General features: G+C 53.0%; 1 protein-coding gene across 5 annotated transcripts in view, besides 4 other annotated features; it reads left to right on the top strand.

The window, feature by feature from the left end:
• Positions 2,369 to 3,086: an enhancer, noted in NCBI's record as "H3K27ac-H3K4me1 hESC enhancer chr1:22271072-22271789 (GRCh37/hg19 assembly coordinates)". NCBI's record gives its function as "activates a minimal SCP1, AML or CMV promoter by ChIP-STARR-seq in naive H9 embryonic stem cells {active_cell/tissue: H9 hESC(naive)}" and the evidence as "EXISTENCE:reporter gene assay evidence [ECO:0000049][PMID:30033119]".
• Positions 9,967 to 10,316: a silencer, noted in NCBI's record as "silent region_391". NCBI's record gives its function as "represses an Ori minimal core promoter by ATAC-STARR-seq in GM12878 lymphoblastoid cells {active_cell/tissue: GM12878}" and the evidence as "EXISTENCE:reporter gene assay evidence [ECO:0000049][PMID:35858748]".
• HSPG2 (heparan sulfate proteoglycan 2) overlaps positions 10,355 to 17,167 on the top strand; it is a 115,067-nt gene continuing 108,254 nt past the window's right edge. For all 5 annotated transcript variants that reach the window (NM_005529.7, XM_047419090.1, NM_001291860.2 and 2 more), the window contains exon 1: positions 10,355 to 10,510. In NM_005529.7, coding sequence (NP_005520.4) covers positions 10,448 to 10,510 — 63 coding nt within the window. In that variant the 5' untranslated portion in view covers positions 10,355 to 10,447. The remainder of the gene's footprint in view (positions 10,511 to 17,167) is intronic.
• Positions 11,064 to 11,905: an enhancer, noted in NCBI's record as "H3K4me1 hESC enhancer chr1:22262253-22263094 (GRCh37/hg19 assembly coordinates)". NCBI's record gives its function as "activates a minimal SCP1, AML or CMV promoter by ChIP-STARR-seq in primed H9 embryonic stem cells {active_cell/tissue: H9 hESC(primed)}" and the evidence as "EXISTENCE:reporter gene assay evidence [ECO:0000049][PMID:30033119]".
• Positions 15,360 to 16,122: an enhancer, noted in NCBI's record as "H3K4me1 hESC enhancer chr1:22258036-22258798 (GRCh37/hg19 assembly coordinates)". NCBI's record gives its function as "activates a minimal SCP1, AML or CMV promoter by ChIP-STARR-seq in naive H9 embryonic stem cells {active_cell/tissue: H9 hESC(naive)}" and the evidence as "EXISTENCE:reporter gene assay evidence [ECO:0000049][PMID:30033119]".

The following is a 17,167-nucleotide window of genomic DNA, read 5'->3' as shown; positions in this document are numbered from 1 at the left end:
TGGGATTACAGCATGAGCCACCGCCCCCGGCCGCACAGCAACTCTTTAAGGATGGTACCATTATCCTTATTTTACAGATGAGCAAACTGAGGCACAGAGTGGTCGGGTATAAATGAGTATGATAAAGATGATTAAAGTGCATAGAACACATTGGCTTTTCAGAAAATATTCGGTATTAACATTACGGAGTACTATATGCAGAATAGGTACACAATAATATAATTATCTTCACAGGGACAACATCTTGCAAATGCAAGGTGTTCTGCAAATGCACACAGTAGGTGCTCAATGAATGGTAGATGTCATTATAGAGCCTCGTACTGAGTAGGTGCTCAAATGAGGTTTTCCCATTGGTTGGGGTTTGGATTGTATCCCAGAGAGACAGGATCTCAGCCCTTTGCCCAAACTGCTTCTCAGGATAGATACTTACTGTTCACAAATCCCTTCCACAAGTTATTCAGCCAGAGTTCAGGGAAAATAAGCCTGTTAGGGAAGGTCCTCTGCTCCACCTGGCCATGCAGAGGCCACAGGAAGCCTCCCAGGTCTACAGTTCAAGCCATGCATCTGCAGGGTCCATGTAAACAGGAAGCAGCATGCTGGCTGCAGACAATGCCACAGCCTGCTGTACTGTCCCCCTTGTGTTCAGGAGTGGCCTTGGTGTCCCCGTGGCTGGGAGTGGCCGAGGAAAGTCTTTCACACTTGCAGAAGTACGTCGCTCATTGAGCACTCACGCTGTGTGCCAGGCATGCTGCCGAGGCCTGAAACGCAGGCTCTCAACCCTCCCCAGCTTGCCAGGCTAGGTTTCAGTGCCCCATTTTGAAGAGGGGGAAACTGAGGCTTAGTGAGAGGAAGTGACTGCCCAAGCGCCTGCAGCTGATTGCAGAGCTGGGATTTCAACCCAGGGTTCTAACTCTCGGCCAGTGTCCTTTTCATCCAAAGTACAGCTTCTTTTTATTTATTTATTTTTATTTCAATAGTTTTGGGGAAGAGGTGGTGTTTGCTTAGCTGCATAAGTTCTTTAGTGGTGATTTATGAGATTTTGGTGCACTCATCACCTGAGCAGTGTACGCTGTACTCAGTGTGTAGTCTTTTATCCCTCACCCCCCTCCCATCCTTCCCCCTACCAAGTCCCCAAAGTCCATTATGTCATTCTTATGCCTTTGTATCCTCACAGCTTAGCTCCCACTTTTTTTTTTTTTGAGATGAAGTCTCACTCTTGTCGCCCAGGCTGGAGTGCAATGGCGCGATCTCAGCTCACTGCAACCTCCGCCTCCCGGGTTCAAGCGATTCTCCTGCCTCAGCCTCCCCAGTAGCTGGGATTACAGGTGTTTGCCACCACACCTGGCTAATTTTTGTATTTTTAGTAGAGATGGGGTTTCATGATGTTGGCCAGGCTGGTCTCAAACTCCTGACCTCAGGCGATCCGCCTGCCTCGGCCTCCCAAAGTGCTGGGATTACAGGCATGAGCCACCATGCCCGGCCAGCTCCCACTTATAAGTGAAAACATATGATGTTTGATTTTTCCATTCCTGAGTTACTTCACTTAGAATAATGGTCTCCAACTCCATCCAAGTTGCTGTGAATGCCATTATTTCATTCCTTTTCATGGCTGAGTAGTATTGCATGGTCAAAGTGCAGTTTCTTTTCTTTTTTCTTTTTCTTCTTCTTCTTCTTCTTCTTTTTTTTTTTTTTTTTTGAGACAGAATCTTGCTCTGTTGCCCAGGCTGGAGGGCAATGGTGTGATCTTGGCTCACTGCAACCTCTGCCCCCCAGGTTCAAGCGATTCTCCTGCCTCAGCCTCCCAAGTAGCTGTAAATACAGGCATCCACCACCACGCCTGGCTAATTTTTGTATTTTTTAGTAGAGATGGGGTTTCGCCATGTTGACCAGGATGGTCTTGAACTCCTGACCTCAGATGATCCACCTGCCTCAGCCTCCCAAAGTGCTGGGATTACAGGTGTGAGCCACCGCACCTGGCCCAGTTTCTTTCTTACTATTTATTAAACAAATTCCAAGAGAAAGAGGAGTAAATCTTGGTCTCCAAAATATGTAGTAAATTAGGAAAAGCAAGGATGGTATTTAACATGAGTTTGGGCTGCCCCACAATACCAGTGTTCTAAACAGGGCAGAGTAAACCTGGAACATGCTCTTTCCAGTAAATAGTAAGCAAAGGGAGAAATTTCCTCAAAGGTCATCTATGGTATCAGTTGCCCAGTCCAATGGTCTCTGCATCCTTTGGTATCATTGGGTATAGCTGCATGAAATTAAATTTTTTTGTATATTTAAACAAATCTGGTGTGGTCCTTTTCAAACAGACAGTTTGATGTCACTTCTGTGACTCTAGAAAATAAATGCAGCTTTTTGGCTGGGCGTGGTGGCTCAAGCCTGTAATCCCAGCACTTTTGGAGGCCAAGGCGGGAGGATTGCTTGAGCTCAGGAGTTCAGAACCAGTCTGGGTGACATGGCGAAATCCCGTCTCTACTGAAAATACAAAAACTGGCTGGGCGTGGTGGCGTGCGCCTTTCGTCCCATCTACTTGGGAGGCTGAGGTAGGAGGATTGCTTGAGCCTGGGAGGTCGAGGCTGCAGTGAGCTGAGATTATGCTACTGCACTCCAGCCTGGGAGACAAAGTGAGGCCCTGTCTCATAAAAAAAAAAAAAAAGAAAAGAAAAAAGAAAATGAAAAGAAATGCAGCTTTTTTATTACCAAGGTGTGTGTGCCAGAGAGAGACGCTCATGCTATTCCTCATTCTCACTCCACCCCACATCTTTCCTCATGGGCCTAACTCTCCTAAGCCTCAGCCCTCCCCGTCCCTCACCCCATTCCTGGGCCCTCCTTTATCCCTTACTGCCTCTTCTGTCTACACAGGACTGGTCCTGCTTGCTCTACCTAAGAAACATAAAAAGGAGGCCTGAGTGGCAACCCTCCCGCACCTCAAAATGCACCCGCACTGCCCTCTCTCAGCTGAAATCTGCAGGAGCAGCAAAGAGGCTCGGCCATGTGCTGTGCCTGAGCGGGTACCACCATTTTTGGCAAACTCTTTAACAGCCTCCCAGGCCCCTCCCAACAGGGCAGGAATTTCTGGTGAACAATTGAACAAAGCCGGGAACTCGGAGAGAGAAGGCACAGGACATTCCAAAAGGATTTCTCTCAAGCTCCAAAAGACAACATGCGGGAACACTGCAGAAAGCTCACGGCCAAGCAAAGAAAATCATGAAAGGGACGGAAAATCCGTCTGGGAGGAAGGGCAGTGCAGGCTGAAGGAAGGAACAAGGGACTGGGGGTGGTCAGGAGGCCTGGGTGGGAGGCCTTTCTCTGCCACTTGTATCCCTGCGGAGGCCATTCCACCTCCCTAGCCTTGGATTTGTGGTCCTTAAAAACTGAGGGAGCTGCAAAGTGAACACACGGACCCACACACAGCCATTCATAGCAATGCCCTTGTGAATAACAAAGACCTGGAAACAGCCCAAATATCCAACATTTCCATCATTCACATAATGAATGGCAGTGTGTTGATAAGACATGATACCAAATGATTATCAAAAATATTGTGTGCAGGCCGGGCGCGGTGGTTCACGCCTGTAATCCCAGCACTTTGGGAGGCCGAGGCGGGCAGATCACCTGAGGTCAGGAGTTTGCGACCAGCCTCAACATGGAGAAACCCCGTCGCTACTAAAAATACAAAAATTAGCCAGGCATGGTCGTGCATGCCTGTAATCCCAGCTACTCGGGAGGCTGAGGCAGGAGAATTGCTTGAACCTGGGAGGCAGAGGTTGTGGTAAGCTGAGATCACGCCATTGCACTCCAGCCTGGGCAACAAGAGCGAAACTCCATCTCAAAAAAAAAAAAAAAAAAGAAAGAAAGAAATATTGTGTGCAAAGGCAATGTCTTTTTTTGTTTGTTTGTTTGTTTGTTTTGAGACTGAGTTTCGCTCTTGTTGCCCAAGCTGGAGTGCAATGGCACGATCTCGGCTCACTGCAACCCCTGCCTCCCGGATTCAAGTGATTCTCTTTTCTCAGCCTCCCGAGCAACTGGGATTACAGGCGCCTGCCACCACATCCGGCTAATTTTTTATATTTTTAGTAGAAATGGGGTTTCACCATGTTAGCCAGGCTGGTCTCGAATGCCTGACCTCAGGTGATCCGCCTGCCTCGGACTCCCAAAGTGCTGGAATTACAGGCATGAGCCATCGCAAAGGCAATGTCAATGCTATTCAAAGTAGCTGGCCCAGGAATTGTTCATGGCACCATCCGTCACAAAGAGCTTGCACCAGAATATAAATCTATGTGCTGCTTCCAATATGGGACAAGAATGGCCAGGAAAAAAAAAATTTCAACTGAGCTAAACCGTCACTAAGCTGTGCTTATTGAAACAGTTGATTTACACCTGGAGCAAGCTCTTTATCTCATCTCAGACTGGTAATAAACAGTTTGGGGGCTGGCACCACAGGCTCATTTTTAAGTAGCTCTGTTCCTTCCTGACACATAGAACGTGTTTATCTAAAAAATGTTCAGTGAGAAAGGCCGGGCACGGTGACTCACGCCTGTAATCTTAGCACTTTGGGAGGCTGAGGCGGGTGGATCACGTGGTCAAGAGATCGAGACTATCCTGGCTAACACGGTGAAACCCTGTCTCTACTAAAAATACAAAAAAATTAGCCGGGCTTGTTGGCAGGTGCCTGTAGTCCCAGCTACTCGGGAGGCTGAGGCAGGAGAATGGCGAATGGCATGAACCCGGGAAGCGGAGCCTGCAGTGAGCCAAGATCACGCCACTGCACTCCAGCCTGGGAGACACAGCGAGACTCCGACTAAAAAAAAAATGTTCGGTGAGAAAAGCAAGACATGAAATCGTACATATGCGTGGAAATATACACAGTGAGATCAAATGCGTAATGTCTACACTGACGAGGGAAGGGAAAGGAGCATTTATGGAGCTCTAACCACGAGCCTGGCAGAGAAGTCTTCTATAGCTGAAGTAGGGGCTAGTAGGCAGGAATGTGAGAGTGTGTACGGAGCCGTAAGAATTCCAGCCTGGCTGGAGGGGAGGGGTGGGAGTGGAGAGCCATGAGTGCAAATTCAAATTATAAAGACCATCTATGGTCAGCTCAGGAGCCAGGCTCTGGGGCAGCATTCGCAAAGTGTTATGAGAAACCTCAGCCCTATAAGATTTTAAAAGGATTTTCCATAAAAACCACTGGGTTCCGTTCTCAAAGAGGTTGAGGAAGGCTGGATTAAACACAGTTGCACAGGCGACTTCACTGGAGGCCTATTCAAAACCCTTCCTGCTTTGGTGTCCCTTGAGGTGGTCAAAGTGTGGGAAAGAGTGCAGGGTACCCAAACTTCTTTGGCCAAAGAACCTCTTTTTCAAAGAGCATCTCAGATTGCAGGTGACCCATGAGGCACAGTGTGGGAACCCTGCCTTGGGCCTGGGACCCCAGTCCAAGAAAGCAATTGATAATGATGAAGGGTAGTGGGGAAACATCAAGTTGGGGCAGGGGGTCAAATACAAGAGCTTTCAGAAGATTCACGCTTCTGCCTGAGCTGGGAGAAGCGCACTTGTGCCTGGCCAGAGTTGAGAACAGCCCACAGGGAGGCAGAATGGGTGTGGTTGAGAATGGGAGTTTGTAGAATCAGACCGACATGGACATGAATCCTGGTTCTACCTCTTACTGACTGCATGACCTGGGCAAGCCACTTCATCCCCTGGGCCTCAGTTTTCCCAGCTGGAAAGGGAGGGGAATAATAAAATGTACTGCCTTGCCTGCTCCCCAGGGTTTATCTTTGTTCCAAGCACAAACCAGAACAGGGACATTTACACTGTGTGCCACGTTTGAACTAATGTCTTGTTCTTTCATTTAAGTAACAATTATCCAAATGCCAACTCTGTGCCACACACTGTGCTCTTCACAGGGGATATAATTGGGACCAAGACAGAAACAAGACCTTCATGCCCTCTGCCTTCATTATGCCTCATAATATTAAATGATCTTCCAAATAATTACAATGGTCAAAAATGCTACAAGAAAAGCATGGCGGGGGGGGCGCTGTGGGAAAGTGTGGTGGGGAACACGACCTCGCTTGGGAGGTCAGAGAAGATTTCTGTGGTCATGTGATGTTTGGACTCAATCTTAAGGGAGAGTAGAGTGAAGGGGGATGGGTGTTAACTGGGAAAAGCACTTAGGAGAGGGAACAGCATCTGCAAAGACTATGGTGGGGAAGGGCTGTGGCTGGATTGATGGGCAGGACTAGATCATGCCAGGCCTTGTGGGGTCCCCGCCCTCTCCATGGGAACTTTTGCTGCCTGCTTAGACCCACCTCCTGCCTCCTCTTCCTCCTCTTCTTCAGTACTATCTTCTTGTTTTTTCTCCTCCATCTCAATTCTCTTTCACACCAATTTCTGACTCTTCATTTTCACCCAAGGACATATTGTTACTCTATTAGCATTTGTTTTCCCACATGGACATAGAAACTCTCGTGGGCAGTGTTTAGTTTCACTATTGAATGAATATAGGGCCACAGCTAGCCTTACAGTGCCTTCACTCATATCAGCAAAAAGTACCCATTCTGGGCCGGGTGCAGTGGCTCACGCCTGTAATCCCAGCACTTTGGGAGGCCGAGACGGGTGGATCACTTGAGGTCAGGAGTTCGAGACCAGCCTGGCCAACATGATGAAACCCTGTCTCTACTAAAAATACAAAAAATTAGCCAGGTGTGGTGGCATGTGCCTGTAATCCCAGCTACTTGGGAGGCTGAGGCAGGAGAATCGCTTGAACCCAGGAGGCAGAGGTTGCAGTGAGTTGAGATCGTGCCACTGCACTCCAACCTGGGCAACAGAGCAAGATTCTGTCTCAAAAAGAAAAAAAAAAGTACCCATTCTGGGCAGATGTAGCCCCACAACAGGGCCCATTACAGTTCCTATTTACCCACTTGGCTGCACACCTTTGTTCAGTGAACAACCTGCGCAACTGTCCACTGCAGCCCTGAATGAATGAATGAATGGACAAAGGAATGTGATTAAGATGAATGATAAGCTCTCAGGCAGAGAAAAGATTTGGAATGGGAGTGGAAGCCAGAAGATGAGTCCTACTGAATTTGGAGGAGTGGACAGGTAAGCCACAAACTCCAGCTGCTGGTTCCAGAACCCCCAACACCTATTCTCAGAAGTCAAGCTGTTTGACTATTTCTGCCTATCCAAGCTGTTGTAGTCTCTCCGTGCCCAGGGAACCTTGTATGAGACTTGAGTTGTTTCTCTCCTCGAGTGTGACCAGCACCCTGAACTCTGTGTACATACAGTGAGATTATGGGCGCCTCCAAGGTTTTGCCAAGCCCAGAAGGCCTTGTGCCTGCTCCTCTTCTTAGCCATATGAGGAGATAGCCAGGCTCTAGACAAAGCAACTTGAGAGCATTTGCTAAAGATATCAAGGACTGCAAACTAAAACAGACCCAGGCAAATCCCTTAGTGGGAAGGAGAGGACACAGAATAAATAGGTGGATGACCAATCCTCCGCTGCTGGAGCCGCCCTGGAAGACTTTCTCAACATGCCATATATTCCTGCTTTCTGCGTGTCAGCCCAGCTCCTTCCAGTCCCTAGTCGGCCTTACCATCTCTTTCCTCAACCCCTTTGAGGAAGGAAGACTTATAGCTCTGGGTTAGTCTTGACCAAACATCTACAAAGGGTTGCTTGTTTCCCTTTTTTTCCCCCTTTGCTCATGAGCAAATCATCCAAGAAGCCAAAGCTCTGGTACTTAAAGGGCCCGAGGTAGGGAACAGACACTGAGGCAGCTCATGAAATGCGATTTGTCACGGATGCTGACAAATCCATGGACAGGCAAGGCCTTGGAAAAATCCTGCCACTAGGGCTGGCCACCTGCCAGCTCTGAAGTCAGTGGAGTTTTGAAGCCTTTCTCATCGGACAGGGAGTTTCCAAGTGCAAACCTGGTGTACTCTCCCCTCAAATGGGAGGTCCCTGGGGTGGCTGTGGAGGCTGCTCCTCTATCAGACCTCAGCTCCCCAAGGGCCAAGTCATGTCTCTCTCTTTAGATTGGGAGCACACCAGAAATAGTAATAAGAGAAATGGCTACCACTTATTTCATGCTTACCAAGTGTCTGAAATGGCTGTGTTTTTTAAAAGAAATATATTAATTTATCTTAATTCTCATAACAACACTAAGAGAGACGTCTTAACGTTATTCTCATTTTCTACATGCAGAGACTGAGACATGGAAGTTGAATCATGTGCTCAAGATTGCACGGCTAGGTGGTGGAGGCAGGATTCTCTATCAGACTGAGAACAATACCCGGACAGGGACTATTCTTCCCCACACCTCTATCAGATTAAGAGTTTACTGAGGGCCAAGATTGGGCGTCCCTCCTCTGTCCACCCCTATCTCCCTGTGCGGATCAGAGATAGACCTTATTCAGTGCTGTGCCTGGAGCCTGGGTTGGGGCCAGGCAGTTGGCCTGACTACCGTGGATGCAATTTCTGTTCTTTACAACTCTGAGCTGGTCCCACAGAAATATGCCCCACAGGGCATATTTTGGAGATATCTTTTGGAGATAGGGGATCTATCTGGGATGGGGGTCAGGATGCCAGTGTTTTTTCAATCCCCCAGATGCCTGGATGAGAGGCCCCAATGTGCTTGGGAGCCTGCGGACCCCTATCACAGGGAACATAGCTTCCGGAGCCAGGCCTGGTGCCGCCCAGTGAGCTGGGCATTTCCTTCTGTCCACAGCTCACCTCACTCCTGGCTGCAAACCCAGCCATGAGTTTCTGGAACCTAGCAACTCTCACAGGAAACAATGGAAACTTCAGTTTTATTCTCCTCCTCTATCATTACTCAAAAGGTTTTCCTCAAAGCTACACACACATAGTTTTCCTCTCCACCCATCAGCCTCGGGCTGCCCTGGAAATTTCAGGCAGAAGAGGGGAGCTGAAGAGTAGGCAGTGAATAGGTCTGGGGGCTTGGTGCTGTTTGCTGCCTGCGGTTGGGTCAGAGACAGATCATGGGGCTGTGATTTTACCACCCACCCGAGCATCTGTGATGGGGCTTTGGCAGGGTCTGTCTGTCTGGGCCTGAGTGTGTGAGTTGGTGTGGTTCTGGCTCTGGGGCTGTGATTTATGTGACTCAAAGTTGGTGTGTGAGTGATTTACATGGAAAATGGTGCAGGTGGGGTGGGCAGCTCAGTTCAGTACCCAGTGCCCACTATGAGGCACTGTGATTAGTGGGTGAGAACAGGTAAAAGATACAGGCTGAGGCTGGGTGCGGTGGCTCAATGCCTGTAATCCCATCACTTTGGGAGGGCAAGGCGGGCAGATCACAAGGTCAGGAGTTCGAGACCAGCCTGGCCAACATGGTAAAAACCCCATCTCTATTAAAAATACAAAAATTAGCCAGGCGTGGTGGCACGCCTGTAATCCCAGCTATTCAGGAGGCTGAGGCCGGAGAATTGCTTGAACCCGGAGGCGGAGGTTGCAGTGAGCCAAGATCCCACCACCGCACTCCAGCCTGGGGACAGAGCGAGACTCCTTCTCAAAAAAAAAAAAAAAAAAAAAAACAAGCTGGTAAGCATGTAGGCAATGATGTGGGCCTGTGTGTGAAATGTGCGTGCCTGCGAGGAATCTATGTGAAAAGGCGTCCTCCCGCTCCGTGACTTGTTGGGATGTATGCGTGAGTGAGGGGCTGAGTGTGGTGTGAGGGCTGTCTCCTGTGTCCCTGGTGGAGGTGAGAGTTTGGAAGCGAGTTAAGTGTGCATGTGAGCCGGTGAGGATTGTTGGTACTTCAGAGTTGGGTCCAGAGTGTGAAAGTGTTCCCGGGTAGCGCACAAGTGTGTTCGTGCAGTAAAGTTATGGTGTGAAGGTGTTCTTGGGTGTGGAAGTTGGCGTGCACGTGTGGCGCGGAGCGGCAGCTGCGTGCGTGTGAGCGTGGGAAGGAGATCCCGGGATCTTCAAAAGCTGCGCGAGTGGAGTCGGCCGTGCGGGGCGTGCAGGGGCGTGGAAGTCGGCGGCGCGCGCGGGGAAGCGGGGGAGCCGGGGATCGGGGAGGCGAGAGCGCCTGGCCCGGCGGCCCCATCCCATGCCCGGGCCCGGGCCCCCGGTCCCCCGCCCCGTCCCATCCCATACTCCAGGCCGGGTTTGGCGGGGAGCCGGGCCGGGCCGCGGCCCGCGCGGAGGGGGCTGGGGGCCCAGACAAAGGCCTAGTAGGCTGCGCGGCCGGCTGGGGCGAGCAGAGCCCGCGGCCCGGGGGCGGTCCGTGGGCGGGGCCTGGCGCTCCGGGGAGGGGCGGTTCGGGGGCGGGGCCGGCGCTGCGGGGGCGGGGCGGGCGGGGAGGAAAGGGGGCGGTGGGGAGAGGGCCGCGCTGTCCCGAGCTGGCCGGCGAGCGGGCGGCTGCGGGCGGCGCGGAGCGGGCGGCGCGGAGCGAGCGAGCGAGAGAGCGGCGCGGGCCGGGCCATGGGGTGGCGGGCGGCGGGCGCGCTGCTGCTGGCGCTGCTGCTGCACGGGCGGCTGCTGGCGGTGAGTGTGCGGGGCAGAGGGGCGGGGGGCGGGGGCGGAGGGGCTAGGGGCGCCCCGGTCCCGCTCGCCGCCTCCCGCCAACTTGGCTGGGGCGCCCAAGGCTGCGCGGCGGGGACTCTGGCCCGGGACGGCGGCGCCCGCCGGGGACCCCGGGCCGGCGCCACCCTGCGGCATGGGGCTAATCCAGGGGGGCCACCAGTCAGGACCCTTCGTGGGGCTGGGGGCGGGGCTGGCCCGTGTGGGAGCCCGTGGGTCTCTCGGCCACGTTGCCGAGTGCTGGAGTCTCGCTGGGCATGGTCCGGCCTACCATTCCTGGGGACCAGGAGGGGAAACTTTGAGCAGGGTGGGAACTTGGCAGGACGAGGGAACCCTTCTGCGCCAGCTTGGCAGAACGGCCACTCAGTGGTGATGGGGACCCTATGAGTCTCGCTGAAACTTTACCACACCGTCTATCACCTTGGGGAGCTTGGACCCAGGTAGGCACAAGCAAAACTTTTGGGACAGAACTGAAGCTTGTGTGGAACACCCACGGGCCTTGGAGTCATACAGCCGAAGAGTTGAATCAATCCCTGCCTTTCACTGAGTAACTGTGTGACCTGGGGCACGCTAGTTAACCTCTCTGAGGCCAGCCCCACGTGGGTCAAGGGAACTCAAAATGCACGGCCTCAAAATGCATAGCTGCAGGGCGTTGCTGGACTGCGTGGAATGAGCTGCAAAGTGCGTGGTGCGGGGATGCAGTGCACCCTTGGGGGACCCGAGTTCCCCAGCTTTCCTCTTCCCAGGTCTCCAAGAGGCAGGGAGAGGCCTGCCCTTGCAGTCTAGTCCCCTACTCTGAGCTTAGGTGGAGGAAAAGGGAATTCTACGGTCAGGAATCCCGAGGCTTAGAAGGCACTTGGCCAGCAGAGGCCCTGAGGACCTGAGTGAACTTGAGGAGGACTGGGTGGGGTCGGTGGGCAGGGAGCTAGTGGCAGATGTGGGTGGGGGCACATCTGGGGAGCCGAGCCTACCGTGGGGAGCCACAGAGCCACCCCCACTCTCTCCGAGGTGCTCCTAGGCAGTCCCCATACCTGCCTCCCTGTTCTCTGAGCCAAGAGAGGGACTTTTCTAACCAGGCTGGTGTTTACCCAGGAACTGCCTGCCTGGCCTCACCTTCCTGGCTTCATCGCACCTCTACCCTCCTGAGTCACTCGTCAAGCCCCCACCCAGACCTGGCTCCTCACTGCTCTTGCCCCACCCACCCAGCACTTCTCCTCCCCCATCCCCACTCTGGGCAGCCTCCTCTGTCGTCCTCCTGTTTCAGCCTCTCACCCCAAAATATTCAGCAGGGCCATCCAGTAGCTCCCTAGTCTTGACCTGAACTTGCACTCCTGGCACTGACTTTTACTTTTCCCAACGCACCAACCTAGCACGTGGGATGTTTTCCGAGGCCCAACAGTCTTTCCTGACCTTCCCCCAGCTCTGCCCCCGATGAGGGGCTCCTCCATGCCCGGGTGCGGTAGGATGGCGGTGGGTGGAGTTGTTTGCTGTGTGCATGAGGAATTTCCACAGACATTCCTGGACCGTGGCAGATCATCTCATTCACTTGTTCATTCAACAGATCATCACTGAGCGACATTCCATGGCAGTCACTGGGAGTACAGAGGTTCATTCTTTGGGCAGATATTTGCCATGCACCTACTGTGTGCCAGTGAACCAGTGAACCTCGTGTGGTGCTAGGGGCTGGGGTGGGTTGGACCAGCAAGGACAGGCCCTGTCTGTGCCTTCCCAGCACTCACAGGCTGGTGGGCGGTAATTTAGACAAATAAACAGGCAGCTCCAATCCTGTGGGATTAGAGAGCCTTCTCAGCAACACATGGAGGGTCGCTGTCCCACCCCAGGCTGCTGGTGGTGGGCTGGAAAGAGCTTGGCCCCTGAAGTCTCTTTATAAAATTCTTTTTAAAAAGTTTTTCAGGCCAGGCGCGGTGGCTCATGCCTGTAATCCCAGCACTTTGGGAGGCCACGGTGGGCGGATCACGAGGTCAGGAGTTTGAGACCAGCCTGGCCAACATAGTGAAACCCCATCTGTACTGAAAATACAAAAATTAGACGGGTGTGGTGGCGCATGCTTGTAATCCCAACTACTCGGGAGGCTGAGGCAGGAGAATCGCTTGAACCCAGGAGGCGGAGGTTGCAGTGAGCTGAGACCACACCATTGCACTCCAGCCTGGGTGACAGAGTGAGACTCCGCCTCAAAACAAACAAACAATAAAAAGTTTTTCGGGGCCAGGCGCGGTGGCACACGCCAGTAATCCCAGGACTTTGGGAGGCCGAGGCGAGCGGATCATGAGGTCAGGAGTTCAAGATCAGCCTGGCCAGCATAGTGAAACCCTGTCTCTACTAAAAATGCAAAAAGTTAGCCAGGCATGGTGGCACGTACCTGTAGTCCCAGCTACTCCGGAGGCTGAGGCAGGAGAATGGCGTTAACCCGGGAGGCGGAGCTTGCAGTGAGCCGAGATCGCGCCACTGCACTCCAGCCTGGGCGACAGAGCAAGACTCTGTCTCAAAAAAAAAAAAAGAGGGCATCACACTTTGTTGCCCAGGCTGGTCTCAAACTCCTGGCCTCAAGCGATCCTCTCGCCTCGGTCTCCTAAAGTGTTGGGATGACAGGCATAAGCCATCATGCCTGGCCTGTCTCTGAAGTCTTACAGACCCAAGTATGAGTCTCTGGGCTGCGGTTTCTGGCTGTGTGATCTGGGGCGAGTTCCTCTCTCTGAGCCTTAGTTTCCAAATCTGTACAATGGGGTTGAGGAGTTTGTTGCAAGTCAAAAATGAGATCAATTCCTAGCCCAGGCTCCCAGCACACCTTGGACCCTCTTTGCCTGCTACCCTTGCTCTCATCTGCCCTTCAGTTTGGTCCGGAGCCAGTGGCTTATGGGGAAGGGTTGGGCACAGCAGCAGGGTGAGATGGGCCTTAGGGAGCTCCAGGCTTCCCCGGGACGGGGGACAGGACCACAGGAAGCTGATCTGTGATTAAGTGTGGGTGTAATTTCAGCTGTTGGGAGGTGAGGAGGCTTGCTGGAGGAGGGGGCTGGGCCTGGGTGACTCGGCAGGCCTTGGCCTGCTGACCCCTTTAGGGCGGCCCTGCAGGGGACAGGCGTCTTGAGGGAGCCTCGGTGGTGATTAAGGTGTTTTCCAGGGCCTAGGAGGGAAGTCGCTGAGATACCTGTTTCCTGCCTCAGCTGGATTTCCTCACTGGGGAGGCTGCCAGCTGAACTGCAGGAGCCTCCCCTTCCTGGCGGTCCCTCAGCCCTCCTCCACGCAGCCAGCTGCTCTGTCACCTGACACTAGCCTACTTGTTCCGTACCTGCAGCCGGCACAGGATGGGGTTTTGAGTGTGCCCTGGACATTCCCGGAGGGAAGGAGGGCAGGCTGCAGGTCTGTCTGCAGGGTAGAAGCTGGAAGGGGCAGAGATGGACCACCCCCCCATCCCTTAGGCCCATTTCCCCCTGTCTGGGGAGTTGTGGCCCCTGCCTGGCTTGGCCCGGGCCTGCTCTCAGGCTGAGCGCAGACAAGTTAGGATCTGTGGGTCTGAAGCCCTGCCCGGGAGACGGTGGAAAGAAGGTGGCAGGAGGTGACTGGGTTCAGGGCCCGGAAGACGGGTGAGCAAAGTGGAGGGGAAGGAGCTCTTGGGGTGCCAGGCTGGATGATGACACAGTAATACGGGTACTTCAGACTTACCCAGTACCCACTGTCTGCTCTGAGTTTCTCAGTGAATCCTCCCATTCACCTGTGTTTCCTGCTCACCACCTCCCTGCGGTGCTCAGAATTAGGTCCCAGCCCCTGACTTAATATAGCCTACGAGGCCCTGCAACACCCGGCCTCCTGCCACCTGCTCCTCTCAAACTCCTCCAGCTATACCAGTCTTTGTTTCTTTTTCTTTTCTTTTTTTTTTTTTTGAGACAGGGTCTCACACTGTCACCCAGGCTGGAGTGCAGTGGCACAATCACAGCTCACCGCTGCCTCAACCTCCCACGCTCAGGTGATCCTCCCACCTCAGCCCCCTGAGTAGCTGGGACTACAGACACCCTCCTCTACACCTGGCTAATTTTTGTATTTTTTATAGAGACAGGGTTTTGCCATGTTCCCCCAGGCAGGTCTCGAACTCCTGGGCTCAAATGATCCACCCCCTTCGGCCTCCCAAAGTGCTAGGATTATAGGCGTGAGCCACTGCACCCAGCCTTTTCTTTTCTAATGAATATAAAAATTTAAAACAAATAGAGATGGGATCTTGTTGTATTGCCCAGGCTGGTCCCAAACTCTTTAACTCAAGCTATCCTCCCACCTCAGCCTTCTGAAGTGCTAGGATTATAGGCATGGGCCACCTCGCCTGACCAAGGCTTTGTTTCTTGAGCATGTGAAACACACTCCCACCTTAGGGTCTCTGCGTCTGCTGTTCCTTCTGCCTGGGACATTTGTCCCCGTAATATCCATATGACCCTCTCCCTCTTTCTGGTCCTTACCACTCTTCCCATAATGGCTGTCTCCTTAAACTGCTTTATTTTTGTTCTCACAATTGTCTGGCCTGTATTTGTCTGTATTTGTTTATGTGTTTATCTGCTTCCTCCTGCTCAGTTTAAGTTCTACGAGAGCAGGACCTCATTTGTTTTTGTTCACTGCTGTATGCTTAGCACCTGGCAGGTAGTAAGTGCTTAGTGAATATCTTTGTCGAATGTTTTAAGCTGTAGCTACTAGCCTGATCCCCATTCTCTAAGCAGAGGACATTGAGGCACTGAGAGGTTACGTAACTTGCCCAGTGACTTACATATCCACACACTCAGAGATGCTGCAAGCCAAGTTTTGAATCCAGACGAAGCTCTCCTAATCACGCCACGTACTGCCCCATGTGCTTGTCGTGGGCAGTCAGTAGATATTGCTACAACTTGTCACAGATGTTGATTAAGAACTCTGGTCCCAAGTAGTACAGGGGCTACCTCAGGCAAGGAATATCAGGGATTGGCTCGGGGACAGAAGCTCTTAGGTTGGGTATGCCTCAGTGTCCGTGGGGTCTCCTAGGGACGCCTGTGCCTGGAGGGGAAGCCTAGGAACTCTAGGGTGGTCATTTTTAGGTTTGTTAATTCATTAATGTTCTCATCAGATATTTCCTGGGACTCTACAGGCAGTTGAATTTATCCAGGGACTTTTAGGCCTGAGTGGGCCAGGCTGGCCCTGCCCAGTGTGGGAGGTCAGGGGCCCCTGCCCCTGCCATGCTGCTAGTGGGGGAAGGGGAAGAACACCCTCCTGGTTGTCCTGTGTGGAGCCTGCGCTGTTTTTTTCTGGCTGTTCCCTGGGGGCTCAAGGTTTAGGGTGAGTCTGCAGAGCTTCAAGGGCTGCCTGGCCTTGGGGTGAGAGGCTCAGGAGGGAGGGCAGGAGGGCCTGCCCAGGCTATGGAAAGATCTGGAGCAATGATTCAGAGGCCACTTGGAGGCCAGAGGTGTGGGCTCTGCACCCTCAGACTACTTGGGGTATATGGGAAGGGTTCCCAGCCCTGGCCTGTTGCCCCCCTCCCCTTCACCCAATCCAGTCCCAGCTATGAGGGGTCAGACTGGAGGAGGAAGTGAATATGACTTGGTTCCCCGGCAGCTTCCCAAGTATCTGCTGGGCCTACCTCTCCCTGTCCCAGGGCCTACCCTGGCCTTTTTCTCCTCTCGCTCCTGCTCCTGCCAAGAAGAGGGAGGCTGCGCCGAGGGTCCCGGCCCTGCTGGAATGTTGCTTCCGCCTGGGCCTTGGCCTCTTTGGCCCTGCCACCCCCTCCTGCTCCCGGGGCCAGCTGCCCCAGCACCCAGAGCTGGCTGACTGAAACCCAGAAGTATGTGTGGAACTCACTTCGCGGGGAGCCGCCGGCCTCACTGCCCAGCCTGGTGGCGTCAGGGCTGTGTCAATAGCAGCCTTGAGAGGGGTGTGGCTCGTGGCTGCTGGGGTGGCCGGGTCGGGGGTGCTGTCATGAAAGCCCTGAGAACAAGGTGGCTCTTTGAGGCCTGGGAATGTGAGGCCTTTGAGTCTTGCTGCCCCCAGAACCACTCTCCCTTCCCTTCCATGATGCTCATCTGTGCCAGGCCTGCAGGAACCTCAGAGCATCCCTGGAGGCATCTGTGGCATCCTGAGATAGCCTTAGGACCAGCTCCTAGCTCCTGACCAGGGCCCATTCCCTGAGCCATGAAGGAGGGTGTCCTGTTGCTCTGGGTTTTAGGGGAGTATCTGGTGCGCAAAGCCTTGCAGAGTGTGTTGAATGAATGAATGAACAAATGATGTATGTGATTAAGCGTTTTTTAAAATTCATTTCACAAATATCTGTGGAGCATCTTCTATGTATCTGACTGTGTTCTAGATCTTTTTTTTTTTTTTGAGATGGAGTCTTGATCTGTTACCCAGGCTAGAGTGCAGTGGTATGATCTCGCCGCACTGCAATCTCTGCCCCCCAGGTTCAAGAGATTCTCCTGCCTTAGCCTCCCAAGTAGCTGGGATTACAGGAACACGCCACCACGTCCAGCTAATTTTTGTATTTTTAGTAGAGATGGAGTTCCACCATGTTGGCCAGGTTGGTCTTGAACTCCTGACCTCAAGTGATCCACCCATCTTGGCCTCCCAAAGCACTGGGATTACAGGCGTGAGCCACTGCAC

Source organism: Homo sapiens, chromosome 1, assembly GCF_000001405.40.
Source record: "Homo sapiens chromosome 1, GRCh38.p14 Primary Assembly".
NCBI lineage: Eukaryota > Metazoa > Chordata > Mammalia > Primates > Hominidae > Homo > Homo sapiens.
The sequence above is the reverse complement of the archived record's forward strand: the minus strand, read 5'-3'. Positions and strand labels throughout refer to the sequence as shown.